Source organism: Homo sapiens, chromosome 7 (assembly GCF_000001405.40).
Source record: "Homo sapiens chromosome 7, GRCh38.p14 Primary Assembly".
Lineage (NCBI taxonomy): Eukaryota > Metazoa > Chordata > Mammalia > Primates > Hominidae > Homo > Homo sapiens.
Window position 1 is genome coordinate 48082817 of NC_000007.14, and position 27689 is coordinate 48110505.

Below are 27689 nucleotides of genomic sequence, written 5' to 3' on the forward strand. Positions count from 1 at the left end.
CTTTACCTGGCATGTGAGATAGCAAGCATAAGGAAACAATGATAGATTAAAACTATACTCTTACCAGCCATTGTGAAAGCAAGGCAGCAGACTTCATTTTTCTAACGAGGTGGCTCCAAGAATGCCTCATCCTAGCTCTCTGCGTGTTTTCTAAACATAAGCAGCAGAATAACAAACAGAACAATGAACCAGAAAAGCCTTCTTTTTTTTTAAATTTTATTACTATGATACTTTAAGTTTTAGGGTACATGTGCACAACATGCAGGCTTGTTACATTTGTATACATGGGGCACTGAGTAGTTCTATATGATGAGTGAGAGTTGGTGGGAAGAATCTCGCTTTTTGTATTTTGGCAAGAATTTGCTAATTTGAATACATTTTTCCCTGACCTCAACCATCCTGCAGAACCATATTATTCCCCTGCGTAGACGAGGAGGCTGGCTCAGATGGTTTTTGGTAACTTGCCCAGTCATCAGCTAGGGTGCGGCATGGCCAATGACCCCTGTGTCAAATCTCATGAGGAAAATATCTCCATGGGTCATATGGCATGCTGAGTCCAGTTCAGAAATGAACCCTTATTATTCCTGGGTGGAATTTGTGAAGAATTTCAGTCTGAGATAGTGGTTTAGAGCAAAACCAGTCAGGTAGAAGGCTTCTTGGAAAACTGGAGAGCAAATGGAGCTGTGTGGCAGCAAGGCATGAGACAAGGGTGTTTCCTAGATTAGATGGTTCCAGAGGCCCTGAATGAGAAATACCACATCCTGCCAGCACCACCTCTCCTAAAGGTGAAGACTGAGAGGGCAAGAACCAGTCAGCCATTGGCATCCGTTGGGTAGCTGGCTGTGACTCCTAAGTGTTTTGTATAAATATCTCATGGCCTGTATCTTTTCTGTAAACATGGATATGCCTGTGAAGCCTCTGGGCAGCTGGAATCCTGTGGGAATCCTCCACTTCCTTGGAGGCTAGCCATTGACTGTGAGGACTAAGCTCTGACGTTTTTTTTTATCTTGCCAATTCTTATCTAAGGGGTCTGGGGAGTCATGCCCTATAAACAATGAATTCTCATGAGATGGGTTTTATTTAACCCTATATATCGTGACTTACTTTCCAACCTGACTCTGGCATAACATTACGAGACAGGGAAGAAAATAAAAATATTTTATCCCAAAACATGTTTCTTTGCCATATCTTGAAATGGCCCTGCAAAGCTGTCCTTTGTGGGGGAAATTTGCATCTGTAAAAAATCTCTATTAACATAGCTAGAGCTTTTTCTTCCAGGCTCTCCCAATTTTAAAGAGATTAACTGGCCGGGCACGGTGGCTCACGCCTGCAATCCCAGCACTTTGGGAGGCCGAGGCAGGTGGATCACAAGGTCAGGAGATCGAGACCATCCTGGCTAACATGGTGAAACCCTGTCCCTACTGAAAATACAAAAATTAGCTGGGTGTGGTGGCGGGCGCCTGTAGTCCCAGCTACTCGGGAGGCTGAGGCAGGAGAATGGCATGAACCTGGGAGGCGGAGCTTTCAGTGAGCCGAGATCGCGCCACTGCACTCCAGCCTGGGTGAGAGTGTGAGACTCCATCTCAAAAAAAAAAAAAAAAAAAAGAGATTAACTAAGTGTCTAGCACCTTTTATTAAAGATCTGAATAGGAAACATTTGTCATCTATTGTCTCTAAGGGCAGCCACTATAAGACTTCAAATACCCTGGGTCTCCACAATCTTTTATCTTAACCTGGACATTTCCTTTCTATCAATCCAGGTCTTTAGACAAACTCAACCAATTGTAAACCAGAAAATGTCTAAATTTACCTATAGCCTTGAACCCTGCCCCCTACCCCGCTTTGAGTTGTCCTGCCTTTCTGGACCAAACCAATGTATTTCTTAAATGTATTTGATTGCTGTCTCATGCATTCCTAAAACATATAAAACCAAGCTGCACCCTGACCGCCTTGGGCACGTGTCCTCAGAACCTCCTGAGGGCCGTTTGCTGTGTCACGGGCCATGGTCATTCACATTTGGCTTAGGATAAATCTCTTCAAATATTTTACAGAGTTTGACTCTCTTTGTTGACTACTAGGACCAGCAACCTGGGAAAGTGATGGCTCATCAGACTGGACTCAGCTGCCAGGGGAGTGGGCCTGCCACTGTGAGCCTATCTGAGCTGGGGGTGGGTCAGGGGACTGAGTAGCTCTATATGATGAGTGAGAGTTGGCGGGAAGAATCTCACTTTTTGTATTTTGGCAAGAATTTGAAATCTCAGGGGTCTGAGTCATGCTGTAGTCTCACCACAGGCCTCAGGGGAGTCAACTTCTGACCTGGAGGCCTGGTCTGGGTTTGTGGTGTCTGAGTCATAGTTCGTGTGATAAAAGTACGTGCTCTGGTGTGGAAAGCAGGCAGAGGCTTTTTCACTCCATTCTGTCTCACTGACAATGAAAATGCTAGCTGTGACCCACCACATGGGTTTCATGACCCACGAATGGACCAGGCAGCTGTTTAGAAAACACTGCGGCTCAATTTCTGCCCTCTCTGAGGGGTGTTCTAGAAATCTGTATGGCTGCTGGATTGGAAAGAAAAGAGCAATTGCATGAGGAATTGGGAAGTGAGGACAAACAGAGAAGAAGCCTCAGCTACTATCTCTAAAATATTATCTGAGAAAGAAAACAAACAAACAAACAACAAACACATTTCTTTTCCTGAGGAAGGTGAGCCTTTAAATTATCAGGCCCAGAGAACATTTAGAACAGAACAGCAGTCATGGCTCACTTCCCCTTCAGCTAAGTGGTTACCTCTTGAAGCCACTTGCTATGTGGCTGTAGAATAACTGAGGCCAATTAGCCATAAGATGCCATCCACCCTATAGTTCAACACTGTGTGGGCAATCACTAACCAATGTTATTTCTGTAAACCAATGAGGATTCCTGACAACTCTGCAATCGCCCCATCTCCTGAGTTGTTCTTTTTTCTTTAAAAACTTGAGCCTCCTTTTTGTTCTTGGAGCACTCCCCATGGCAACTTAGAAGTGTGTCCTGGGCTACAGTCCTCAACCTGGGCACAAATAAACTCTCTATGTTAATTTTGTCTCATCTTTCTTTTAGGTAGACACATTAGCTTTGGGAGAATTTCAAAGAGTTTGAAGTTACTTAGATTTGGGAAACCTGAAGGGCAGTGGTGTGTCACTATCTGGTGTGGCCTGGCCTTCAGCCTCTCAGCCCCTTCCCTCCCCACCTCTCAGAGCTCAGGGCCAACTGCATCTCTGAAAGAGCCCAAAGACCTTGTTGAGGAGCAGGGGGATCCTGGCTGAGCCTGCAAGCCCTGGGTCTCTTCCAGACTTTCCTGCCTCTAGCAGCTGCTGCTCTAGGTGGCCATTGGTGGGCTGCATTTGCTCTCTGCTTGCAAACATTGATGACACAGGTATTTTGGGTGTGGTTTAGTAGTGGCCCGACACAATTTTGTTTCCAGTTTGTCACACTGACAAGGTTTTAACCTGACAAATGTTAAACACAAATTATAGGAGGCCATTGTTTTAGACTAAGCTCTTGCACTAGGCCCCAAAAGACAAGACTAAAAATAAAAATAAAGTCACCCATGCTAACGTTTCAGGTCACCAAACTTACTGGAAAGGCGTCCTGATCCTGAGCCCTAGAGAAAGTTCTTGGATCTCCTACAAGAAAGAATTTGGGGTGAGTCCACAGAGAACAGTAAAAGGAAGTTTATTAAGAAAGGAAGGGAATAAAAGAGTGGCTACTCCATAGGCAGAGCATCCCCAAGGGCTGCTGGTGGGTATTTTTTATGATTACTCTTGAATATGTGCTAAGCAAGGGGTGGATTATTCCTGAGTTTTCCAAGAAAGGGGTGAGTTATTTGGTTATTCCCCCTTCCCTTTTACAAGGGAACCCTTAATCCTAAGGGTTGTAGAGTCAGGAAATATGTCAGCAGGAGTCGACTCAGAGACTCTTCATCTTGAATAGGAGCTGGGTAAAATGAGGCTGAGATCTGCTGGAGTGCATTCCCAGGAGGTTAGGCATCCTTAGTCACAGGATGAAATAGAAGGTTGGCAGGTGGTATCACAAGATACAGGTTACAAAGACCTTGCTGATGAAACAGGATGCAGTAAAGAAGCCAGCCAAAACTGGCCAAAACCTGCCAAAAACCAGCAAGGTGAGGAAAACTACCTCTGGTCTTCCTCATTGCTCATTATTCGCTAATTACAATGCATTCTCATGCTAAACGACACTCCTACCAGCACCATGACAGTTTATAAATACCATGGCAACATTTAGAAGTTACCCTATATGTTCTAAAAGGAAGAATTCCTAGAAAACTCATGAATAATCCACCCTTATTTAGTATATGATCAAGAAATAACCATAAAAATAGCCAACCAGCAGCCCTAGAGGCTGCCCTGCCCATGGAATTGCCATTCTTTTATTCCTTTACTTTCTCAATAAGCTTGCTTCTTTCACTTTACTCTGTGGACTCACCCTGGCCCCGAATTCTTTCTTGCACAAGATCCAAGAACATTCTCTTGGGGTCTGGATTGGGACCCTTTTCCGGTAACAAAACTAAAACTAAGTTGTTAATCTACCTTCAGAGAGAGAGAATAGCAACTTCCTAACCAGGCCAGTTTCAGTCTTCAGTCTGAGGCAGCAAAATAGGGTCTGGAGGCAGGGAACATAAGGCCGATTCACACTTTAGCTATGACAGGAAATAGCCTCTGCGTAGGCCAAGTAAATGACTTTGTAACTTTGCATCATCCCTTTCATTTACATAGTGTGTGCCCCAAGCGGAGGACATTGAAACTCCCCAAAATTCTGGAATGGGGCCTTTGAGCCCCTACGCTCAGGCCCGCTCCCACACTGTGGAGTGTACTTTCATTTACCTTTTTTTTTTGAGATGGCGTCTCACTGTGTCACCAAGGCTGGAATGCAGTGGCATGATCTCAGCTCACTGCAACCTCTGCCACCCAGGTTCAAGTGGTTCTCCTGCCTCAGCCTCCCAAGTAGCTGGAATTACAGGCACCTGCCACTGTGACCGGCTAGGTTTTTTTTTTTGTTTTTTTTTTTTTTTTACTTTTAGTAGAGACGGGGTTTCACCATCTTGGTTAGGCTGGTCTTGAACTCCTGACTTTGTAATCCACCCGCCTCGGCCTCCCAAAGTGCTGGGATTACAGGTGTGAGCCACTGCGCCTGGCCGTACTTTCATTTTCAATAAAACCCTTAATTCCTTCCTTGATTTGTTTGTGTGTTTCACTCTTGTCACCCAGTATGGAGTGCAATGGCGCGATCTCGGCTCACTGCATCCTTCGCTGGGTTCAAGCAATTCTCCTGCCTCGGCCTGCCTAGTACCTGGGATTACAGGCACGCGACACCACGTCCAGCTAATTTTTTGTATTTTTAGTAGTGACGGGGTTTCACCATGTTGGGCAGGCTGGTCTCGAACTCCTGACCTCAGGTGATCCATCCGCCTCGGCCTTCCAAAGTGCTGGGATTACAGGCGTGAGCCACCACTCCCGGCCCAACCCCATGTTTTCTCAGGAACTGGAGTTCCCTTTAGGAAGCAAGTAACAGAGGTGCTGGGCTGCCCGGGCCTCTAGGTCGTCTTCTTTCCCAGGCTCTGTGCTCTCACCAGAGTGCGCGTTCGGGAAGCAGGGAGAGGACCAGGAAAGACGCCTGAGACGGAGAGTGGGCACCGGCCGGGGGCAGGCAGGTCCGGCCCCTGGGGGTCAGAGTGCAGCGCCGGTTTGAGGCAGTTCGGCCACTTAGCTGCGACTCGAAGTGAATGAGTCACTTCCCCTCCTCGGGCGAGCTCCTGGCTTTGCCCCAGCAAGCGGGAACTCCCAGGATCAGGAAGGTCCCAGAGAAACTCCCCAGGGGGGAAGCCGAGGCCGTCCAGAGAGATCCAGGGTACACACAGTGACAGTGCCAGCTCCACATTCCCGACCACCGGGCCAGGGCTGGTTCCACGCTGTCATTTCTCTCCGCTGGCCCCAGCCGCGGGGCCACCGCCAGACAGACAGACCGGGGATCCTGCCTGGCGGCGTGACCTTGGGTTAGTCCTAGAGCCGCTTCTAGCCCGGTTTCCTCCGCCCCAGGTTAGGACCACGTGGGTAAGAAGATTTCCTCTGTAGTAGGGGCTGTTTAATGAGTAACAGAACTGGCTGCTGGTTCTTTACAATTGCCCAGCTGCTCTGCAGAGGCGAGAAGCAATTGCGGGCTGAGCCTCCCGGGACCTTCGCGGGAGGGTGGAGAGGAGGAAGGCGGGGGAGGCGGGGCCAGAGGGGCAGAGGAAGGTGGGGGCGGGCGGGGCTTGTCTGCGGGATGGCCCAGGATGCGGTCAGCTGAGTTCGCCGGCCCAGGGCAGGCGGGGCCCGAGCCTAGCGGTAACCCCCGGGCAGGGCGGGGCCGCTCGCAGACTCCATATGAGATTCACCTCGCAGGTGGTTCCCTCATTCGAGTGCTCCGGCGCACAGACCCGCGCCCCGCCGTCTGCGAGCCTCCCGAGAGCCGTCCCTTCGTCCGGCCCTGGAGCATTGCGTTTGTCGCCGGTGTCGCAGTGCGAGGATGGCGCCGCGGGTGTAGCGGCTCTCTGCGCAGGCCGAGTGGTGAGTCGCCCGCGGCCCGGCTCCCGCCGTTCTCTCTTCCCAGGGGTCTAGCCCGTCCCCTGCCTTGGCCACGTGCCCATTTACCTGTAGGGGCGGTGACGGAGGCTCTGGTGCACCTTGGCTGTGAGCTGCAGAGGAGCAGAGAGCGGCCCGGCGCGGCTGCGCGGGGAGGCGGGCGCGCGGCCGGGAGGTTCTGGGGCTGGTGTGTGCGGAGCGAGGTGGGCGTGGGGGAAGCGCGCGGGCGGGATGTGCTTCCTCGGGTCCACCCCGTGCCTACCTCTCCCACGTCCCGGCGACGGAGCGCGCGGGGCTCTGGGCGGGGAGCCCACCGGGCCGAGGCGCAGCGAGGGTGAAGCCAGAGCCGGCAGGGTCAGGTCCCGCAGGGCGCAGGCGGGCGCTTCTCGCAGCCCAAACCCGGGCGGGGAGTGCGGGAACCCCTAGAACTATGCTGGGAGCCCCAGATAAGAGGAAGGAGATGGTGACTTAAGTGACGAAGTGATGTTTTGTCCCCACCGCCTTTTAAAGGGAGAAGGGGGTAAAATTTCATTTGGAGGATGATTGTTACGCGAGCTTTCAGAGTTCAGATGGCGTCAAGTGGCCATCGAGTCAACATTTAACAAAATGTTACCGCATAAAATATTGTCATCGAGTTATCTGGCAGCTCCGCAGAGAAACTTCACAGGCATATGCGTTATATGACATAATTTGCATGGGGAAGGGGGTCCCTTCACGATTCTTTTATATGGCAACCTGTTCTTGGACCTGGCAGGGCCCAGAGAAGCGAGGAACTCCGCAGCTCGTCGACACGTCTCGTCTCCTGTCCCAATTCAGGGCTTGGTGAGGTGACTCGCGGTCGCGGGTGACTCGCCGGCAGGACACTGCCTGGAACGCCTGGAGCGCCTCCCACTGCAGACGTCTGTCCGCCTCCAGCCGCTCTCCTCTGACGGTCAGTTTCAAAGAAACACAGTCTGGGATCCGGAGTAGAAAGAGGCCGTTTCCCGTGAAGGCCATAGAGGCAGTTTCCAGGCGCCTGGGTGACCTGTCTCTGCACTTCCCTCTCTGCTTCTCCATCCCTGTTTCCTTTCCCCACTGTCCCCTGCCTGGCCTTTCTTTGGCTCATTTTCTGCCTTCCTGGGGTCTTCTGGTTAAAAAGACCATTGGTTCCATTCATTGGCTGTAACCGCGGGTCTTTAAAAAACTTTGTGACTTCCTTGAATAGAAAGAATGTCTTACTCTGGATTTCTACAAGCGCTGCTGAGCCATTCCCAGGGCAGGCCTTTGTCTCTCCCGCCTTTCAGTTTGTTTGCCCATCTGCATTTTGGCCCAAGCTTTCCCCATTTCTCAGCTGCTCTTACATTATTTCTTTTTTCAGAGGCTACCCTGACCTTCTAGTCCTCTGCATTAAACCTCATCACCGCAGACCGTTTTAATTCAGCACAGGTGTATCGAGCACAAATTATATTCTTGGTTCCAATACTTTCAGCACTGGTGGGCATTCATGTTTCATTTAAGAAGGATAAATTAGTGTTTCTTTACATGGGCTTTTTGTCAAAGTGGAATTTTGTTGACTTTACTGATCTTAAAATTAACGCAAACTTATTGTAAAAACAAACAAACAAAAAAACCCAAAAACCAAAAATCAAATATATAACAGAAAATGAAACTTCTAGGTTTTCCTCTTCCCTAAAGATAAACAACAAACATTCTTCTTCCTTCTCCTCTCTCTCTCACACACATTTGCTTTTGAAATATGTTCATTCAAAAAAGTATTTTAAATGTTTACAAGCTAAGTTATTTATGCAAGTAACTTACCAATCTGATTTGAGTTTAACGGGTTAAAACTAAAAAAAAAAATCAAAAACATCTTCAGTTTTTTTTTTTTTTTAAGTAAGATGGATCTGGCTGGTAATAGGTAGAGAGCCCCAGGTGATCACCGAAAAGACTCTTCCTTGGGGAGCCAAATCCTAAGCCAGGTTTAGGATTTCCCTGGGAGGTAGAATTTGCAGCCCAGGTAAAACCAGCAAAACTCTCCTGTTATGTGGGGAGGGGAGCGAAGAGCATGGCTTTCTAGAGAGGTGAGAGAAGACTTGTTGAGAAACTGAATTTCATTTCCTTACGGAAGTTGGAGAACATTGTGGTACAATGTTAGGAGAAAGGTTTTCTAAAATCAGTGCAGTCTGACATCTTCAACACCAGGGTCTTTTCCACTGGAGCACTGCAGACATCTGCAACTTTCTCTGCCTACGTGGGTGTGGTTAAATAGACCCTCCCTGAGTGCAGGGCTGAAAAGTGGAGAGAAGTTAGTTCTTGGGACACTCACACCCAGGAGGGGGGATCCTGCAGGTACTAAGATTGCAAAGGGAAAGAGAGAGTGAGGCTGGTCCTGGAGCCCACTAGGAAGGAGCCAGCGGAAAGCAGTGACTGGACAAGGGAACTGATTTCTCTGCTGATGTGGCCTTGGTTTCTCTGGTTCAGAGTAAAGAAAAGCAACCAAACCTAGAGAGAAACATCCTTACTCTACAAGGCCAGACGGGAAGTTCTGTCTTTGGCTTGGTTTCCTTTTCTACAAACGGGGTTGGATTCTCTCTGGAGAGCTTTCCGGGGGCCACTCAGCAGTCTCTGATTCAGTGGGATGTTCTCAGCTGCTGGCCCAAGGGAGCTCACCTCTTAGCTCTTCCCCTGCCTGGTTCACTGGGGGGCTGCTCCCTCCCATTAGCTCCCTACCCCTAAAGACAAAAATAGCAGCCTGGAGGGGGCAGAGTTTTAGGGGAGGTTGTAAGAGGGCACATTCTTCAGAGGAGCCACTCTTACGGGGGAATGTTCCTGCCCCACAGAAACTGGCCCTGGGGATCAGGACTCTGCCTGACCCTAAACCCTACTTCTTCCCTCAGTCGGTAGGTCTGCTTAATGGATCCTGAAGAAGGCCTGAAATCATGACCAGACCCCTACGCCCCGGGATCCTCCTGTAGTGCCTTTTGATAAGAAGCACTGCCCTGGCTTCTCTCTCCTCCTTCCACATGTGTAGGGAGAGGTAGCTCTGCCTATTCATGAAGCTTCATCCCTACACTGTCCTTCATTTGGCCCCTGGTGAACCGGGGGCCAAGGTGTGATACCTCTTTTAAAACTCATTCCCTTCACACTGGTGTTGTGACTCATGCCTGTAATTCCAGCTACTTGGAGGCTGAGGTGGGAGGATCACGTGAGCCCAGTAATTTGAGGCGGCAGTGAGCTGTGATTGCACCACTCCACTCCAGCCTGGGTAACAGAGTGAGACCCTGTTTGTTTCTTTTTTTTTTTTTTTTGAGACAGAGTCTTGCTCTTTCACCCAGGCTGGAGTGCAGTGGCATGATCTCGACTCACTACAACCTTCATCTCCTGGGTTCCAGCGATTCTCCTGCCTCAGCCTCCCGAGTAGCTGGGATTCCAGGCATGCGCCACCACACCCAGCTACTTTTTTGCATTTTTAGTAGAGATGGAGTTTCACCATGTTGGCCAGGCTGGTCTTGAACTCCTGACCTCAAGTGATCTGGCCTCCTCGGCCTCCCAAAGTGCTGAGATTAGGGGCGTGGGCCACTGTGCATGGCCCCCTGTTTCTAAAAAAATGAAGAATAAAGTGTTGAATTAAAAAAAAAATCAACAACACCACACCTTATTCCCCTTCTTAGCTCTCCTTAGCTGGACTGCAGTAGGCTGGGATTTCCAAAGAAGTGTTGTGTAAATGCTAAGGGAGAATGAAAGCCTGGTGGAGAGATTTAAGGCAGCAATTGGAGGGAACATTTTTCTCCACACCTAACAACTGTAGTTTTCCCTGGCATTCAAAATTTGCTGGAAATGATCACTATATTATGGTAATAATAAATCCCATTCTCCAAAAAGGGACCTTTTGGGTTTTAGCTTGGTGACAAGAGACTGCTGAGTTACGAAGGTGAGAACCGTGTGGTGGAAACAACTGGCTTGACCTCAGGAAAGCAGCTTCACTTCACAGACTCCTACTGATGTCTTTATGAGCCTTGGATCATCCTGTAGACCCAGTGCTTCACTCTCTTCCTCTCAGCATGAATCCTGCCCACTCTGCAAGGCTTTCCAGGGAGTTGGGGGCCTGGCCATTACAGGGCATTTGGGGATTTGTTTCTTTATTAACTGAGTTCAAAACGTGAGTCTCACCCTCCTTCAAAGAGCTCTGGCAAAACCCTGCCCTTCTCCACACAGAGAAGTGGTCTTGGGGGTTTCTGACTACTGAGCCCTAGTAGAATAACTTCAGGTACGCCACGTTTTTCCTTCATGGGACTTTGCAGTGGAGACGGGGCCGTGGGCTGACTCAGGTCAGCCTCAGTCCCTCTCCCTCCTATGGTGGTCCCCTGTCCCCGCTGCTCCCCCTGGAGCTGATAACTTTTACCCATCTTTGACCCAATTCTTCCTGGGGAGAAGAGCATCTGAGATTCTAGAAAAGTGAGGCAGAGGCCAGGCGCAGTGGCTCACACCTGTAATCCCAGCACTTTGGGAGGCCGAGGCTGGTGGATCACCTGGGGTCAGCAGTTCGAGAACAGCCTGCCCAACATGGTGAAACCCTGTCTCTACTAAAAATACAAAAATTAGCTGAACATGGTGGCGTGTGTCTGTAGTCTCAGCTACTCGGGAGGCTGAGGCAGAAGAATTGCCTGAACCTGGGAGGCGGAGGTTGCAGTGAGCCGAGATGGCACCACTGCACTCCAGCCTGGGTGACAGAGCGAGACTGTCTCTATTAAAAAAAGGGAGGCAGAGAGGTGTGGTGTGTTGGGTCAGTGAGTCTTGACTTGCTGAGCTGGGAAATTGGGAATAAGGGACAGGTTTTTGTTTTGTTTTGTTTTGTTTTTTGAGACGGAGTGTCGCTCTGCAACCTCTGCCTCCCAGGTTCAAGCGATTGTCCTCCCTCAGCCTCCTGAGAGTAGCTGGGATTACAGGCGCCTGCCACCACACCTGGCTAATTTTTGTATTTTTAGTAGAGATGGTGTTTCACTGTATTGGACAGGCTTGTCTTGAACTCATGATCTCCACCCACCTTGGCCTCCCAAAGTGCTGGGTTTACAGGCATAAAGGGGACAGGTTCTCTGGAGGTGTGAGGTGCCTGTCCACTTAGGCTTTTGGCACATTTTCAGCACCTCCTCTCTGAAACTAGCAATGCTATAAACACACATACACACTCTCCTCTCTCTCTGTTTCTATTTCTCACACAATTCACACACTTACATCAGGTGTGTAAGGAATTCCACTTCATTGCACTGACTTTCTACATATTAGTGGGGCTCTGCACGATCTTGGTTTCTACTGAGTGGATTCACTCCATTCTGTGATTTTTTTTCCTTAGGGTCCTGCCTCAGTTGGCGGAATGGCGGCCACGGGAGCCAATGCAGAGAAAGCTGAAAGTCACAAGTAAGGCTCCATTTCATTCCAGGTTGGGTTGGGTGGGGTTGGGTTGTTTATAGAGCATATGTTGTGCCACACATTTTTCTAAGGACTTGACATATATTAACACATTTGATGCTTGTGAAAGAGACTGAGGCCTGGAGGGATTAATGACTCAGGAGGTTCGTACATTAGATGGTTAAAGACCTCCGGGGTCGGGTGCTGGGGCCTCAGCTCTTGATTCTTAGGACATGTTGTTTCAGAAAACCAGACAAGTCCCTGCTCAAATCTCTGTCTAGTAGGTTTTTCCTCTATGTGCCAATTTCTTAAACAAAATCCCCTGCTTATCACTCAGCTCTGCCTTGGTTCTGAATTTTAAATGCCTTCTTATTTCTTTGCAGTTTGTCATACTTCTGGTATGCTTGGCATGACACCACTTGTGTTTAGGCATTGCTAGAAAAGCAAGAATTTCTTGTCTTCATTCTGATTCCTATGTGAACTTTAATCCGCTGATTATTCTTATTTTCTCACCCCCCCAGTTGTCTCCCACCTCTGCTGGGGTTACCTGGGCAGGCCTTCTGTCCTGCCGCCATGGCCTCTCCCCAGTCTTGGTGGCCTCTGACCTTGGCACCACCCAGGGTTGTGGTGACCTCTGGCCCCCCTTGCTCTGGACTCCTGGTCCTTTGTTCCTCTGTAACTTCCCTGAGACCTCTCTGAAGTCTCACATGTGACAGCTGCATACCCAGGTCATAATTCCATATGGACAATGCTCTTCTCCTCCTCCATTCCCCAGAAGTCCTGGTGTCCATTTTGGAGTTTCTGGTGCCTGTGGACATTCCCTGCAGTGATTTTTTTTTTTTGAGATGGAGTTTTGCTCTTGTCGCCCAGGCTGGAGTGCAGTGAGTGGCGCAATCTCAGCTTGCTGCAACCTCTGCTTCCCAGTTTCAAGCAATTCTGGTGCCTCGGCCTCCCAGGTAGCTGGGATTACAGGTGCAAGCCAGCACACTTGGCTAATTTTGTATTTTTAGTAGAGATGGGGTTTCACCATGTTGGCCAGGCTGGTCTCAAACTCCTGACCTCAAGTGATCCACCCGCCTCAGTCTCCCAAAGTGCTGGGATTACGGGCGTGAGCCACTGTGGCCTGCCTCAGTGATTATTTTTTAATTGAACTAATAGTATTCCTGGTATTTTCAGTCATTGACAGCCAAAAATGCCTTGTCCCCAGTTTCTGGAGCTCCCCTCCTTCCTCCTCCTGCCATGGCTTGAGGTTGAGGCCTAGTAGGAGGCTGGTGGGGGTGGAGGGGAGTGGTAGAAATGAAGGCTGGAGAAAACAGGGCCGGCACACCAAGTGCCAAGCAACTCAGTGAGGGTTTCCTCCCCTTCCCTCTCTTCAGTAATTATTTTACCCTCCCTTGTTTTATCCTCAGCTATCTGCTAATCATGTTCCACTTGCTGAAAGGCAGTCAGGTGTAGAGCTCAGGAGTACAGCCTCTTAGGAAGGATGTGACCTTGGACTTTGAATGGGGTTACTGATGGTACTTAGTTTATACTGAGAGTATTAAATGAATTGATATGTGCTAGCTATTAATAACTTCATTTCTACCCCAAGTCGAAAGCCTTCCATGAGTGGAACTGGATCTTACTCATCTTTATGTTCAGTACACCCAGCACAGGATGCTTGGCTGTTGCGAGATGCAGCCAGCATTTTCTGGAGCCCTCCCACTTCCCCTTCCCCAGTACCTCAGGCCCCTGTGTCTCACCCATCTCATTTTCTTCTTGTCTCCACATGTGCTGGTCCTAAGCTATTTGGGCAAGTTTATATAAAGGTTGATACTGCTTTCTCTTCCCTGCTGATAAACTCCTGGAATCAGAAGCCAGTTTTCATTGCTTTCTTTTTTTTCCTTTTTGTCTTTTATTGAGACAGGGTTTCGCCCTTTTACCTAGGCTGGAGTGCCGAGGTGTGATCTCAGCTCACTGCAACCTCTGCCTCCTGGGCTCAAGTGATCCTCTCACTTCAGCCTCCTGAGTAGCTGGGACTACAGGCATGCACCACCACACCCAGCTAATTTTTGTATTTTTCACAGAGACAGGGTTTCACTGTGTTGTCCAAGCTGATCTCAAACTCCTGGGCTCAAGTGATCTGCCCGCCTCAGCCTCCCAAATTGCTGGGATTACAGGCATGAGCCACCGCGCCCAGACAGTTTTCATTTCATTTCATATATTTCTTTTACATGGTAGATGCTCAATGAATATTTGCTAGATGAATAAAGTGGTAGAATAAAGCAGAATAAAGTCACTTGAAATTATGTGTAGACTAGAGAAATATTTTTTTCCAGGTAGTATGTCTCTGACTTGTTATTTTAAAATCCTTCAAAAAATAAATTGGGGCATCTACTGGTTCATTATGGTACATGTTAAATTTACTTTTTAAATTTTACTTTATTTTTTATTTTTAGACAGTCTTACTCTGTTACCTAGGCTGGAGTGCAGTGGTGTGATCAGGGCTCACTGCAGCCTCAACCTCCTGGGCTCAGGTGATCCTCCCACATCAGCCTCCCAGGGAGGTGGGACTATAGGTGCATGCCACCATGCCTGGCTAATTTTTACATTTTCTGTAGAGTCAGGGTTTCACCATGTTGCCCTGGCTAGTCTCGAATTCCTGGGCTCAAGTGATCCACCTGCGTTGGCCTCCTAAAGTACTGGGATTACAGGAGTGAGCCACTGTACCCGGCCAAATTTTCATGTTTTAAAATAATTGCCTGTCTTCACGGTTACACCCTACTTCCTTCTTCTTCATTTCTCAGAATCAAGGAGAAAAGACAAGTATTTTATTTTGAAATATGTGACAAAGTTGTCTTAATCACATCCTGTTTTGTTATTTTGAAGCATGACTCTTAGCCCTTCTATGTTGTACTCTGTGTATTTCTAACATCCTGAAGGAGGAGAATGGAAATGTTACTTACATGAAAAATAGTTGTCACTAAAGGATCCTAAAATACTGTGGGGTGTGCAGATCGTCAGAATTTCAGATTGGCCTAGAGATCAAAAAGGTTTTCTGAGAAAAGTTCAAGGATGGTCCTTACCACACGTGATTCTGGATTTGGTCGCTTGAAAAATGGCCTTGCCCCACATCCCAGAGTAGAATGAACCCTGATTCTGGAGATCCCCCCAATAGCTTGTCAGGAAGAGGTGGGCTTAGGGGCAGGCGGGTGTGGCTCTGTGCTTCAGGCAGGCTGCTGTGCCTTCCTGAGCAGGGTTTTCAGCAGATTCACTAGTGCAGTCAGCAGAGTCCCTGCCTGCCCATACAGGAGACAGTCACCTAGCCCCCTGTCCCCTTATACAAAGATCTCCCTGTCTCTGTGTATAACCCTTTGTACTTATGTTTTCTATATCAGCCTTTCTGAAATGTTCAGGTGTGAGCTCACCTGGGCCCCACTCTAGGGGAATTGATGGGAAGGAACATTTGACAGTCATGAAAGGAGGAAGCAGTCAGGTATAGGCCATCTGTGTGTTTGGAGCCTGGGTGTCTGCTGTTGATGAGTGCCAGATAGAAATAGGGATTTGATAAAATGATAGATAAAATAGGATGGGACCATCTCAACCTTGTTTTTCTTGTCTGTGGTGTGTTACGTGGGATTCAGAGATATATAAGACGTGGTCATGGCCTCCAGAAATTTTTGTTCTGGAGGTAAAGTTATTACATTAATTATGTATACCAGTGTTAAAATATAGATAAGGTGTAACAAGCATCGTGTGGGGAGAGAATGGACAATGTCTGTGAGGGGGGTGCATCCCTTATTTAACAGTTATTTCCAAATCCGTGGCAGCTGAGACCTTGCCTCTCTTGTGTCTTTTTCTTTTCTCATGAGTTAGAATGAGGAGGAGACATGACCACGGGGTTCAGGGCAGAAAGTCAGACTCAGAAGGAAGAAAAAGAAGTCCCCAATTGCTCTGACATCAGCATCCCATGTCTGCCTCTGTTTCCTGTAAGGGAGCCCACCCATCTCTAGGACTCAGAAGGCATACATTGTTGAAGGAGCTACGTTTGAGGCTGGCTCTAAGGGACTTCGACAGGCTTGAGGGACTCATCTAGACCTGGGGCATTTGTTTTGTAAGGAAGGTTTTATTGGAACACAGACACACTCACTCATTTGTGTGCTATCTGTAGTTGCTTTCACATGTCTACGGTGGACTTGAGAAGTAGCAGAAATCATGCAGCCTGCAAAACCACATGTATTTATTATCTGGCCTTTTATGAAGAAAAGTTTGCTGATGCTTGCTCTAGACCAGCATGTGCCACGAGCACATTTTCTAGCAGATAAACAGATGTCTTATCTTGTCACTCCTATTGGATATCGTGCTGGAGAAGTGGTAGCTAGTGTAACAAAAACAAAAACAAATTGAAGGTATGCAGATTGGAAAGGTTATCTCTGGGAGGTAGGATTAGAGGTTGTTTTTCCTTCTATTTCTGTTCATATTTCCTATGGTAAACATAGTAGTTTTAAAATAAATTCAAGTTTATACATCGAATGAACTTGATTAGAGGAGCAACTGGCTATACTCCCTACTCCTTGTATGGGTAGATCAAACATTTCCATCTGTGTACTTTCGTGTGCTCTTCTGATTTCATCCCTGTTGCCCTCCAAACAGAGCCATGGGAGCAACAGGGGTTAAGAGGGAGGAGAAGGGGGAAGAACAGAGGGGAGGCAAGTGCGGACCTTGGCAATGTTGGGGTTGTCTTATCTCCGGGATCTGGCCCTGTCTTTCTCCCACCATGAGCCTCGTGTCTGACATAGGCCACTTCTGTGATAATGTCGGCTGTCGGGCACTGATGTTCTATAAGCCTTCCACTTTCTTGTTTTTTAACAGTGATTGCCCCGTCAGACTTTTAAATCCAAACATAGCAAAAATGAAAGAAGATATTCTCTATCATTTCAATCTCACCACTAGCAGACACAATTTCCCAGCCTTGTTTGGAGATGTGAAGGTAAGAGGCCAGGTGTTGACACCTTGGAATTTGCCTTAAGATCAACCTCCCCCTATATTATACAGGTAGACCAACCCACAAATGCTTGAGAGACCACAGCTGACAGGTTTATGAAGACATAATGTTTACCAAATTTTTGCAAGTTTTTAACTTTCAAGTATGTGAACTAGCAAGTAAAACTATCCTAAGTAGTGCCAAATTGTTCCCTAATTCATCTTTTGCAAATTTAGTGCAGTCATGCATTGTTTAACTCTGGAAATACGGTCCGAGAAATGCAGCCTTAGGTATTTCATCATTGTGTGGACAACATAGAGCGTAACCACACAAACCTAGGTGGTAGAGCCTACTACTTGCCTGGGCCATATGCCTCTAGGCTACAAACCTCTATAGCATGTGAGTGTCCTGAATACTGTAGGCAGTTGTAACACAGTGGTAAGCATTTGTGTATCTATACATATCTAAACATAGAAAAGCTACAGTAAAATCATGGTATTATATAATTTTCTGGGACCGCTGTTGTGTATATGTGATTCCTTGCTTACCAAAACATCGTTACATGGGGCATGACTATGCATTTGAAACTATATATAAAATAAACTTCCTAATGCTTCATTGAGAGAAGAGAAAGATGTAAAAATTTCCTAGGGAAGCAAAGGATAGTAAATAAAGGTCATTGTATTTTGTTTGTAATATAAGATACATATTGATATTCTGTTTAGTTAATTGCCTTTAATGTCTTATTTTGCTTCATGCAGCTTCCAGTTAACTTTTTCTACAAAGTCTTAAGTCCCTTAGTTCTGATTTATCTTAACGTAGGACTTTGAAATGTCTAATGGGTAAAGATGAACTGACATGTAGAATTAAAAATCAAAATATACCAGGACGCTAGAATCCAGTGCTGCTACATGGGATCATAATTAAACAATAGTGTTATGTCTTATCAATCATCCTGTTCTTTGATAGTGTTGGTTTCAAATGGTGGACAACTTCCCATGTGCTTTTAATTCATTAAAATTTCATTCATCCTATTAAGTTAATCCGTAGTGATTTTTATTCCAGGCTATGGAATTTTCTTTTTTATGTTTAGAGAATAATTAATAATTCTTTTCTTTTATCTTCAGACTTTTTTTTTTAAATTTTTTGACCTGGAGTCTCACTGCCCAGGCTGGATTACAGTGGTGTGATCTCAGCTCACTGCAACCTCCCTGTCCTGGGTTCAAGCGATTCTCTTGCCTCAGCCTCCTGAGTAGCTGGGATTGTAGGCACCTGCCACCATGCCCAGCTAATTTTTGTATTTTTTAGTAGAGATGGGGTTTTACCATGTTGGACAGGCTGGTCTGGAACGCCTGACCTCAGGTGATCTGCCTGCCCACTCCCAAAGTGCTGGGATTACAGGTGTGAGCCACTGTGCCCAGCCATCTTCAAACTCTTTAAAAACTTACTCACTTAAAAAAATTTTTTTTTTCAAAACCAACATTTTCTTACATGATGTTCTGCAAATTAAAGTTTTTACTTCTCTGAGAGAGACCCATCCAGAATAGCTATCACTTCCTGAGCCTCCTCTAGGCTTCGGCTGGCTCTTCTCAAGCATTGGCTATTTGGCACTCAAGTAACCAGGCGAGAGAGCGGTCAGTAGCCCATTTTGTGGGGCCCTGGTAACACAGAGGGACAGTGAGGAGTTGCTCCCTCTGTTTCAAACCCAGGCTGTCTCCACAGGCCGCCTTCTACATGACGGAGGGAGGCCGAGGGTGCACAGGACCTGGAATTACCTCCTCAGAGAGAGCAAGGGTCTGGATTCCTGCGTTTGTGGAGCTGACTGCCTTTTGATGCTTGGCCGCCCACCCTGACCACTCACCAGGGGGCCTTGTTAAAGCAGATTCCTGGGCCCCTTAGATTCAGCAGGTCCTGGTGAGGCCAGTGAACTTATATTTTTAGCAAGTTCATTGGTAATACTGATGTTGCTGGTCTAGGGGCCCCACTTGAGGACCTCTGCTATAGACAGTGCACTAATGGGGGTCTCTCTTCTCTGGCTGCAGTTTGTGTGTGTTGGTGGAAGCCCCTCCCGGATGAAAGCCTTCATCAGGTGCGTTGGTGCAGAGCTGGGCCTTGACTGCCCAGGTAGAGACTATCCCAACATCTGTGCGGGAACTGACCGCTATGCCATGTATAAAGTAGGACCGGTGCTGTCTGTCAGTGTGAGTACCTGCCTTCCCTTGTGCTCAGTCTCTAGGCTCTGCAACCCCCTGTGCCCCACCCCTCTGCACACACAGACAGCTGGTCCCCTAACACCTGCTTACTGTAAATGGCTGGGAGCAGGGTGAGCCCACAGTAGCTGGGATTCAGAGATTATTGAACTCAGGCTATCGTCCTTGAGGCTCAGTCTCCAGGGGCGACTAAGTACACAAATGCATATACACCGCTGTCTGTCTACACAGTGTGAGGGTGGCAGGTGCAGGGAGTTAGAGTGCTTGGGGTGTAGAGGAAGGACAGTAGGGGGCGCCCTGCCTGGAGCAGGATGGAAGGAGAGCCTCAAAGTACCAGGCCTCTAATCCCCTCTACCACCTCACAGTGAGTTACTTCAAAACACATTTTGATTTAGCAAGGAGCATGGTGAACACAGAAATCTCCAGATTCTACCATAGAAGTCTTTTCATTTTTCAGTTTTGATTTTGTCAGGAGCAATATAAATGAACAGCTGCAGAGTAAGGAAAGGGAACCCCTTTTGTTGAGATGTGCACCCCTACCTCTCCAGTCAGCTGAGGACACTAGCTATGTCAACCAACTAGAACATATCAGGGAGCCAAGACATGACTAGGTTACTGATAATCTGCGCAAGCCTTTCCTGTGTGTAAGGCTCCGTGACCGATTCTAGCAGGGATGCCTCCACTGTATGGCTCTGCCACAGGAACAGCCCCTGGAAAGTGCTGAGTTCATCCGGGGAGAGGCATCACAGAAGTTGTGACACTAGGGGGGGTGCTCTGAAGAGGAGAGCAGGAGAAGGAGGTATGCAGAGACCCCAAAGAGAGGAAAAGGCACAGGCAGACAAGATCAGCAAAGCATCCTGTGTCCAGTGGGCTGAGGAACCAGCTGATTACTTAGTTTGTCTGAAGCAGAGGGTGTAGGGAGAAAAGAGAAAGGAGATAAAACTTTAACCTGTGGTGGGGTGTGGGAGAATAGGGTGGGTATTTATGCAGGGCTTCAAATGCTAGAAGGAGCTGTTTGTTACCTGGCAATAGCAGACTGCTGCTTCCCTGCTGAGCCCCTGGGTCCGCAGCTGTTACCTATTTGACAAATTGTGTCGATCAAATGGGGTTTTGTCTTTGACAGCTTTGCATACACTTTAAAGTTTCCCAAAGTGTTACTAGTTCTTAAATTTATATTTAAAAAGTTTATCTTTCATCACTATGTCAATGGGCATGTTAGATTGAATTACATCACATGAAACATCAGCCAGAACATTGACAAAGTCACAACCTTGGCTTAACATGGGTGTTTCTCCCTGGTTCCAGCATGGTATGGGCATTCCTTCTATCTCAATCATGTTGCATGAGCTCATAAAGCTGCTGTACTATGCCCGGTGCTCCAACGTCACTATCATCCGCATTGGCACTTCTGGTGGGATAGGTAAGGTCTGCAGAGGGGCCTCTTGCCCTGTGAATGGATGAGGGACTGGGGCATGCCAAGGCAGCTTCTACATGGTGTGGCATTAGAGACAAAGAGTTCCTTTCTTGGCTTTGTTCAAGGGAAGCTTGTTAACAGGAGGTGTGAAAAGAAGCTTGTTTTGTTGTTTTTGTCCAACCTGTTCTCCCAACCCGCACCCCAGAGCTAGGCAGTAGAAGGGCACCACACCATGCATATGGGGGAAACTCATCCTTTTGGGGTTACACAATTTGTGCCTTCTTGTCTGCTTGATTCTGTCTTATTCTTTCTAATCCCCCTTCTTCTCCATTCTCTCCTTTCCTTTGCTTACTTTTCCTCCTCCCTAATCCTGCAGGGATTTTGAAGCACCTTAGGAGAAAAGACACAGGAAAATCAAAGGGGGGAAGAGAGAGGCGCAGTACAAAACTCAGATAAGTGTCCTTAAATTAGCTTAAAATGTCCCTATCCTCAACAGGGACATTTTTTTTTTGTTTAAAAAACAAAGATGGTTGGCCGGGCGCGGTGGCTCACACCTGTAATCCCAGCACATTGGGAGGCCGAGGCGGGCGGATCACAAGATCGGGAGATCGAGACCATCCTGGCCAACATGGTGAAACCCCGTCTCTACTAAAATACAAAAGATTAGCTGGGCGTGGTGGTGCACGTCTGTAGTCCCAGCTGCTGGTGAGGCTGAGGCAGGAGAATCGCTTGAACCCGGGAGGCGGAGGTTGCAGTGAGCCAACATCGCGCCACTGCACTTCAGCCTGGCAACAGAGCGAGACTCCATCTCAACAACAACAACAACAAACAAACAAACAAAAACCCCCACAAACATGGCAAAGAAAGAATGAGATTTAATGAGAAAGCAAAAGCTAACAAATTGTTGAATTGTAAGCCAAAGTCTGTTAGGCAGATTTGTTTTAAATACGTGGTCTTGCTCTCTGGGGTTCCAACTCTGTGCCATTCTTTCTGCTAAAAACTGGGTTCTAGTGATTCCTGCTCCCACCGAGGTGTTCAGAGCTCAGGGAAGAAGCCTGCATGTGCCCTAGAGAAAGTTGAGCTTTGCCGCTGCTGGCCAGGCCTGTGTGTACTTGTTCCAGGCTGTCTAGGGCCTGGACTATCTAGGATTTATAGCAATTCTAGAATTTAAGTGTCCTGACCTTGAAAGGGGACTTGCTTTAGACCCAAATATTTTGAATATGTTATCTTGTCTCTTTTCTTTTTGTTATATAGAGAGATTGATGCATAAAATCTGTGTTTGTATGACTGTAATTCCAAGTTTAGCGAAATTGTCCCTAGGACAACACACCAACGGCCATGAGCTGTCTCGGTCCTGCAAGCTTAGTCTCCGATGCTGCCCACCTGACACAGCTGTGCATAGCATGCTGGCCTCTGCCAGGAACTCTAGTGAATGGTTCTTGAGTTCTTGCTCTGGAGTGATTTTTAAAACAATGATCAGATAATTCTGGAGGGAGTAGTATAGATTTTGAATTTTCCTCAATTGCTCTGTAAAAATGGAAAGAGCAACTAGGGAGCAAAACCAAAAACCACTGGACACAGTTGATAATAAAAGGTGATGTGCTATCCTCACAAACCCCAAAGTATGAATGGGTGGAGACAAAAAGCCTCAGGATCTGGTTGTGTTGGCAGCTGCTCAGGGGGAAGCTCAAGGCGATGGACAGACCTGAGAACAAGAGTCCCAGGCACTCCTAGGAAGGTGCAGGGGGACATGGTGAAGATGGCAGCTGACACTGGAGGGGGCCTGTGCGTCCCAATGTGAGTGATGCTGGAATTCCAAGGGGCTTGACCACTCCAGGCCCTGTGGGTTCACCAAGGCATCAGCCAAGCTCTCCTCTAGCTCCAGCCCCAGTGCTGGGAGAAGCTGCTGAAATGAGACTCTGAATTGCCCAGAACAGCCGCAGGAGTAGCAATGGAAAGAGGAGTTCAGATACATGTGGGGAGCGAAGCAAAGGTCTTTGCAATCGGCCATGTTTTTTAATGTTTCATGAAAACAACTGACTTGGGAGCTCTGGAAAAGATCTGACTTCTTGTTCCCTCCCACATGTTTAGGAAAACCAATTTTGCATTAAAATAAGTATCAGAAATGGATCATAGTTATCTTAGTCCCTGCAGGTTGATAGACAAGATGCCATTGACTGAGTGGCTTATAAACAATAGGAATTTATCGCGTAGTCTGGAGGCTGCGAAGTCCAAGGTCAAGGAGTCAGCAAACTTGGTGTCTGGTGAGGGCTAACTTTCGGATTCATAGAGCTCTGTTTTCTCCCTGTGTGCTCACATGGCAGAAGGGGCAGGCAGCTCTCCGGGGTCCCTCTTATAAGGGCACTAATCCCACTCATGCAGGCTCCACCCTCATGACCTAATCACCTCCCAAAGGCCCTGCTGCCTGAAACCATCACATTTAGGGTTAGGATTTCAGCCTATGAATTTTGAGGGGGAAACCAGCATTCAGTCCAGGTCCATAACAATGGTCAAATCCCATCTAAAATTATTATAACACAAAGAATAAGGGGCAGAGTAATGTCCCTACAAACAGGAAACTACTCCAGGAAGGCACGCCCAGAACATAGAAACTGGACCCTAATAATGCATCAATCTGAGAGGAAGGCCAGGTAGGTCAGGAGTTGGTCATAGCTCACCTGGGTTTAGGGTGTGGGACTTCATTATACTGTTCTAGTCTGCCTTTTGCTGGTTTACTTTTCAAGTATTTGCCTGAAATCTTAAATATTAACAAGGTATGAAACAGGGATCAATGAAACACATCATGGTATATGGTTCAGTGACAGACAACAGTGGGAAATCGCCGTGAATGGAAGCAAGAAATATGGGACAAAGTACTTGAAGGTTCCTGGCCATTTTTATTTTATTCTTTTTTTTTTCTTTCGAAATGGAGTTTGCTCTTTTTGCCCATGCTGGAGTGCAGTGGCGTGATCTTGGCTCACTGCAACCTCTGCCTCCTGGGTTCAAGTGATTCTCCCGCCTCAGTCTCCCAAGTAGCTGGGATTACAGACACCCGGCACAATGCCTGGCTAATTTTTGTATTTTTAGTAGAGATGGGGTCTCACCATGTTGGCCAGGCTGGTCTTGAACTCCTGACCTCAGGTGATCTGCTCGTCTTGGCCTCCCAAAGTGCTTGGGATTACAGGCGTGGGCCACTGCACCCAGCCCTCTACTTTGTTTTTTGTGCCTTTCTCTTCCATAGTGTCCATAATGATCATGCATTAATTACTTTCATAGCTTAAAAAAAAGTTGAATGGGAAAAATGGGTCACTGTGTATTTGAGAACAGTACTGGATGCTTCGTGTTTGGATGTGTGGGTGGATCTGCTTCTTTCTTCCATATGCTCTGCTGTGTGCTCCCTGGCTGCCCTGCTTTAATTTTATTTTGTTTTACACCCTGCATATCTTGATGTCTGCTTTTTTCCTCAGGTCTGGAGCCCGGCACTGTGGTCATAACAGAGCAGGCAGTGGATACCTGCTTCAAGGCAGAGTTTGAGCAGATTGTCCTGGGGAAGCGGGTCATCCGGAAAACGGACCTTAACAAGAAGCTGGTGCAGGAGCTGTTGCTGTGTTCTGCAGAGCTGAGCGAGTTCACCACAGTGGTGGGGAACACCATGTGCACCTTGGACTTCTATGAAGGTGAGGCAGCGGATACGAGGAGGCATCTTTCAGCCAGGGAACCCTGGTCCGTCCCCTGAGCCTGCCTTCTCGCTGTGGACTGGCGTTTCCACTTGCCAGGCTGCTGTCTCAGTTACACTTCGCCCAGAGTGGTTATAATGACCCGTTTGAGTGGTCATTATAGGCAGGACCTGGATGGGTCTTGCTTGTCCCTGTGTCCTTCTGGGCATCAGTGGCGCTGATGTGTTGTAGGAGCTTCTCACATGCATGTGGTTCTCATGTCTCCATGTGTGCCTCAGGGCAAGGCCGTCTGGATGGGGCTCTCTGCTCCTACACGGAGAAGGACAAGCAGGCGTATCTGGAGGCAGCCTATGCAGCCGGCGTCCGCAATATCGAGATGGAGTCCTCGGTGTTTGCCGCCATGTGCAGCGCCTGCGGCCTCCAAGGTAAGCGGCACTTGATGGGCCTCGGCGTCCCCTCCTCCCTTCACTTCTGCTCTCCTGGAGCCCCTCGCTGGGGCCCCTCCTCCTGGGGCACCCCGATACCCATTTCTGGTTTCTGTTTCCGCTGCCCCCAAGTCACTTTCTGACATATGTGTTGTCACCACAATGCTGTTCAATGTCTGACTGTCACACCCTGACAAAATGCAGGATTCTCAGTGACCTTGTGCAGGAAAAATGACAAAAAAGCTTTTGCTGCCCCATGAGGCTGCCACCAGGTCTATAAAAAACTCGGCTTTCAAAGCGCTTTGGCTTTCTGAATTGTGGTTCATCTACCCTCAAGGTACTAGCCACCCTTGAAGGCCAGCTCACAGCTCTGCAGAATTCCCTTATCACCTCGGCCAAAACGTGCCTTTCAAGGTGGTGCTTGCAGCCCTGAGCTGGTCCTGGAATGGTGAATTCCTTTTGGAAGCAGGCACGAGAATAAGGGAGGGACAGGGCAGGGTGGTGTCAGAGAGGGAGGAGTCTTCCGAGCCCCTGGACCAGCGCCTTTCCCTCCCGCACTCCATCCTCCGGCCCCGCCTGACTGCATGGGCAGCCTGGTTTCCTGAGGAGGCAGAGAGGCTGCTCCTCAGAGCTCGTGGGTTCTTCATCCCGTCCCTGTGAAATGTTAGACCCCCGGCACCTTGCCTTGATGTGGTCTTTGTCCTTTGCAGCGGCCGTGGTGTGTGTCACCCTCCTGAACCGCCTGGAAGGGGACCAGATCAGCAGCCCTCGCAATGTGCTCAGCGAGTACCAGCAGAGGCCGCAGCGGCTGGTGAGCTACTTCATCAAGAAGAAACTGAGCAAGGCCTGAGCGCTGCCCTGCACCTCCGCAGACCTGCTGTGATGACTTGCCATTAAAAGCATTGTCCAAAATCCCCTGTTGTGTGGACTTTGAGCACACTTTACACAAGAATCTAGAAAATCAGATCGCGATTAAGAGACAGAGAATCTTGGATTAACCGCATGGGAGATGTTCTTCCTTTTGAAGTTTCATTGGAGCATTTTCAATGATGTTAGCCTGATTTGGGGTTTCTTCAAGAACATTCTACCAAATTTTTGTACTATTTCTAGGGAAATTTTTCAGACTTTAAAATTCTAATGGTAGTCAGATTTCATGTCACTAAACAAGAAATCTGACAATAGTGCCAGGAAACTAATTTCCTGATACATTAAAAAAATTCCATGCACCACTTGCAATGAGAGATGACTGAAAACCAATGAAGCAGACAGCAGGGGTGTTTGAGAAATAATGCGTACCTAAACAGGCATATACACAGTTTCCAAATTATAGTCACACACATTCCCAAAACCATCCACACCAGCTTAATCACACGACAGTAATCCTCCCACCCATTGTCCACAATGCTAGTGTCTTGATCCAAGTACCTAGGGATGGGAAACGGGACACCTGGGCTCAAGACAGCTTGTCCTATTGTTTCTGTCCATGGCTTGTCAGCCTTGCATTCATTCCTGGCCTCACACTGACATTCCTAGACTCCGTGTCTCTTAGCTTCCTTCTCGGTTGCACCTTATAGTGGAGGGGAGAATCCAGGGTGGCCCCTCTGTCTGTCTCGGGTGAGTCTGGCAGCAGCTACTTGGGCAGGCCTAGGTCCCCAGCTCAGGGGCAGCTGGGTCTTGGGTCTTCACTGGCTTGTGGGTTGCCCAGGCTCCTGGCTGACTTCTCAACTCTCCCCACATCAGTGTGGCCACTTTCTGGTATTTATTGTTTCCTGTCCTTGAGATGGGCTTATTTCCTGGTGGGCTCTGAGGGACACTCCCATGCTCAGGGGCTCTGCTTAGCAGTTTGCTGTGTGACTTGGAGTGGCCAGGGAGGTGTGTGGGGACCTTGGTGTGGGTGCATGTGTGTGGTCTGTGCACTCTTTAATGTGCCTTCCCTGTGATTCTGAGATTCAACCCAAAATGAGGGTCATTCAGCATCTACTGAGCCCACATGCCCTTCTAAGTGCTAAGAGCAAGAGAGATCCTTGTCCCAATCAAAAACTTCCTTCCCTTCCACCTTCTCAAGCTCTAGGGTCTGTAATACAGATTTGCTTAGGGTGGAGAGTGAGTCTCCTTCCATTTCTCCCTCAGCACTTCTTGGTCCCTTTGTTGAAGCTGTCCAGGAGAAATTGGAACCCTCAAGGAGACTTCAGGGTCCTGGGATGTGGCTGTGCAGTCATCTGTGCACCCAGGGCAGCATGCTAAAGGCTCTGCTCCTGGCTTCTCACTCCAGCACGAGCTGCAGGGGCTGGACTTGCTACTATTGTGCGCTCATCTGTCTCCAAATTACCAAGTGCCCCCAGACTTCAACTGGATGTCACCATGCCCCTGTGGGTGCAGGACCCAGTGTGGGATAGCCTTTCTATCCTCTGACCAACCAGATGATGTTTATCACCAGGCTCTGGGGCAGGCTGAGGATGCAGGTGCGGACCATTGCCCCAGGCAGTAGGGGACTTGCAGGTTAATTTCTTTCACACCTCAACCCAGGCAAGTGTGGCCAGGTGGGCCCGCCACTTCCTAGGAGGACATCTTTGATAAAGCAGAGAAAAAAAACCACACAGAAATAGAATTTAAGGCTAAAGAGGAGGCTGCTATTAGTAAGAAAAGGGCTAGTTTGTTTTTGAGGTGTTTTGTCTCTGCACTGCCTGGAAGTCTGTCTCGCTGGGGGAGCTGTCACAGAGCCTGTGGCCTGAGCACCCTCCTCCGGGACAAGGCAGAAGGTAAAATGACTTCTGAACATGAGATTCTTTCTACAGGTGTCAATGGCCAAGCTGCAGCTATTGGCACTGCACTGCCCTCTGCTGGCTATGTGAGGTAGTGCACATCAGCCACCCCCAGGTGGATCTCTGTTGATCTAATCGGGCGACATCCCTGACCTTACAGGTGAACTCTATACCCCCTGACACGCAGGAAATGCCGGTTGAACAACACATCTTGTTCTGATTGAGTAAACATGAAC

The 27689-nt window shown here is 48.1% G+C and overlaps 1 protein-coding gene across 13 annotated transcripts, besides 7 other annotated features; it reads left to right on the plus strand.

The window, feature by feature from the left end:
- Positions 5452 to 5981: an enhancer, noted in NCBI's record as "H3K27ac-H3K4me1 hESC enhancer chr7:48127865-48128394 (GRCh37/hg19 assembly coordinates)". NCBI's record gives its function as "activates a minimal SCP1, AML or CMV promoter by ChIP-STARR-seq in primed H9 embryonic stem cells {active_cell/tissue: H9 hESC(primed)}" and the evidence as "EXISTENCE:reporter gene assay evidence [ECO:0000049][PMID:30033119]".
- Positions 5452 to 6003: a biological region, named in NCBI's record as "H3K27ac-H3K4me1 hESC enhancer GRCh37_chr7:48127865-48128394".
- Positions 5794 to 6003: an enhancer, noted in NCBI's record as "active region_25987". NCBI's record gives its function as "activates an Ori minimal core promoter by ATAC-STARR-seq in GM12878 lymphoblastoid cells {active_cell/tissue: GM12878}" and the evidence as "EXISTENCE:reporter gene assay evidence [ECO:0000049][PMID:35858748]".
- UPP1 (uridine phosphorylase 1) lies at positions 5888 to 25920 on the plus strand. Of its 13 annotated transcripts, none has more exons than NM_001287426.2 (10): positions 5888 to 6107; positions 6396 to 6602; positions 7434 to 7548; positions 11947 to 12011; positions 16854 to 16971; positions 19008 to 19166; positions 20481 to 20595; positions 24057 to 24266; positions 24545 to 24691; positions 25402 to 25920. In NM_001287426.2, exons 4-10 carry the CDS (start codon positions 11968 to 11970, stop codon positions 25539 to 25541), a joined length of 933 nt encoding a protein of 310 aa, NP_001274355.1. In that variant the 5' UTR covers positions 5888 to 6107; positions 6396 to 6602; positions 7434 to 7548; positions 11947 to 11967; the 3' UTR covers positions 25542 to 25920. The 13 variants fall into 13 exon arrangements, 12 of the variants coding, with proteins under 12 accessions (NP_001274355.1, NP_001349703.1, XP_011513814.1 ...); NM_001362774.2 differs by having other exon boundaries at positions 6438 to 6602; positions 7372 to 7548; XM_011515512.3 differs by lacking the exon at positions 6396 to 6602.
- Positions 6144 to 6483: a silencer, noted in NCBI's record as "silent region_18172". NCBI's record gives its function as "represses an Ori minimal core promoter by ATAC-STARR-seq in GM12878 lymphoblastoid cells {active_cell/tissue: GM12878}" and the evidence as "EXISTENCE:reporter gene assay evidence [ECO:0000049][PMID:35858748]".
- Positions 6514 to 7043: an enhancer, noted in NCBI's record as "H3K27ac hESC enhancer chr7:48128927-48129456 (GRCh37/hg19 assembly coordinates)". NCBI's record gives its function as "activates a minimal SCP1, AML or CMV promoter by ChIP-STARR-seq in naive H9 embryonic stem cells {active_cell/tissue: H9 hESC(naive)}" and the evidence as "EXISTENCE:reporter gene assay evidence [ECO:0000049][PMID:30033119]".
- Positions 6824 to 7013: a silencer, noted in NCBI's record as "silent region_18173". NCBI's record gives its function as "represses an Ori minimal core promoter by ATAC-STARR-seq in GM12878 lymphoblastoid cells {active_cell/tissue: GM12878}" and the evidence as "EXISTENCE:reporter gene assay evidence [ECO:0000049][PMID:35858748]".
- Positions 22757 to 22980: a silencer, noted in NCBI's record as "fragment chr7:48145170-48145393 (GRCh37/hg19 assembly coordinates)". NCBI's record gives its function as "represses an EF-1alpha promoter that drives an FKBP-Casp9 reporter gene in an ReSE screen in K562 erythroleukemia cells {active_cell/tissue: K562}" and the evidence as "EXISTENCE:reporter gene assay evidence [ECO:0000049][PMID:32094911]".

What these genes read in the sequence shown, in the direction of transcription:
- UPP1 (NM_001287426.2), top strand. Translation starts at nt 11,968, where the DNA reads ATGGCGGCCACGGGAGCCAATGCAGAGAAAGCTGAAAGTCACAA. An exon ending in CCTTGTTTGGAGATGTGAAG is followed by an intron (nt 16,972 to 19,007) that starts GTAAGAGGCCAG and finishes CTCTGGCTGCAG; the next exon opens with TTTGTGTGTGTTGGTGGAAG. An exon ending in CACCTTGGACTTCTATGAAG is followed by an intron (nt 24,267 to 24,544) that starts GTGAGGCAGCGG and finishes TGTGTGCCTCAG; the next exon opens with GGCAAGGCCGTCTGGATGGG.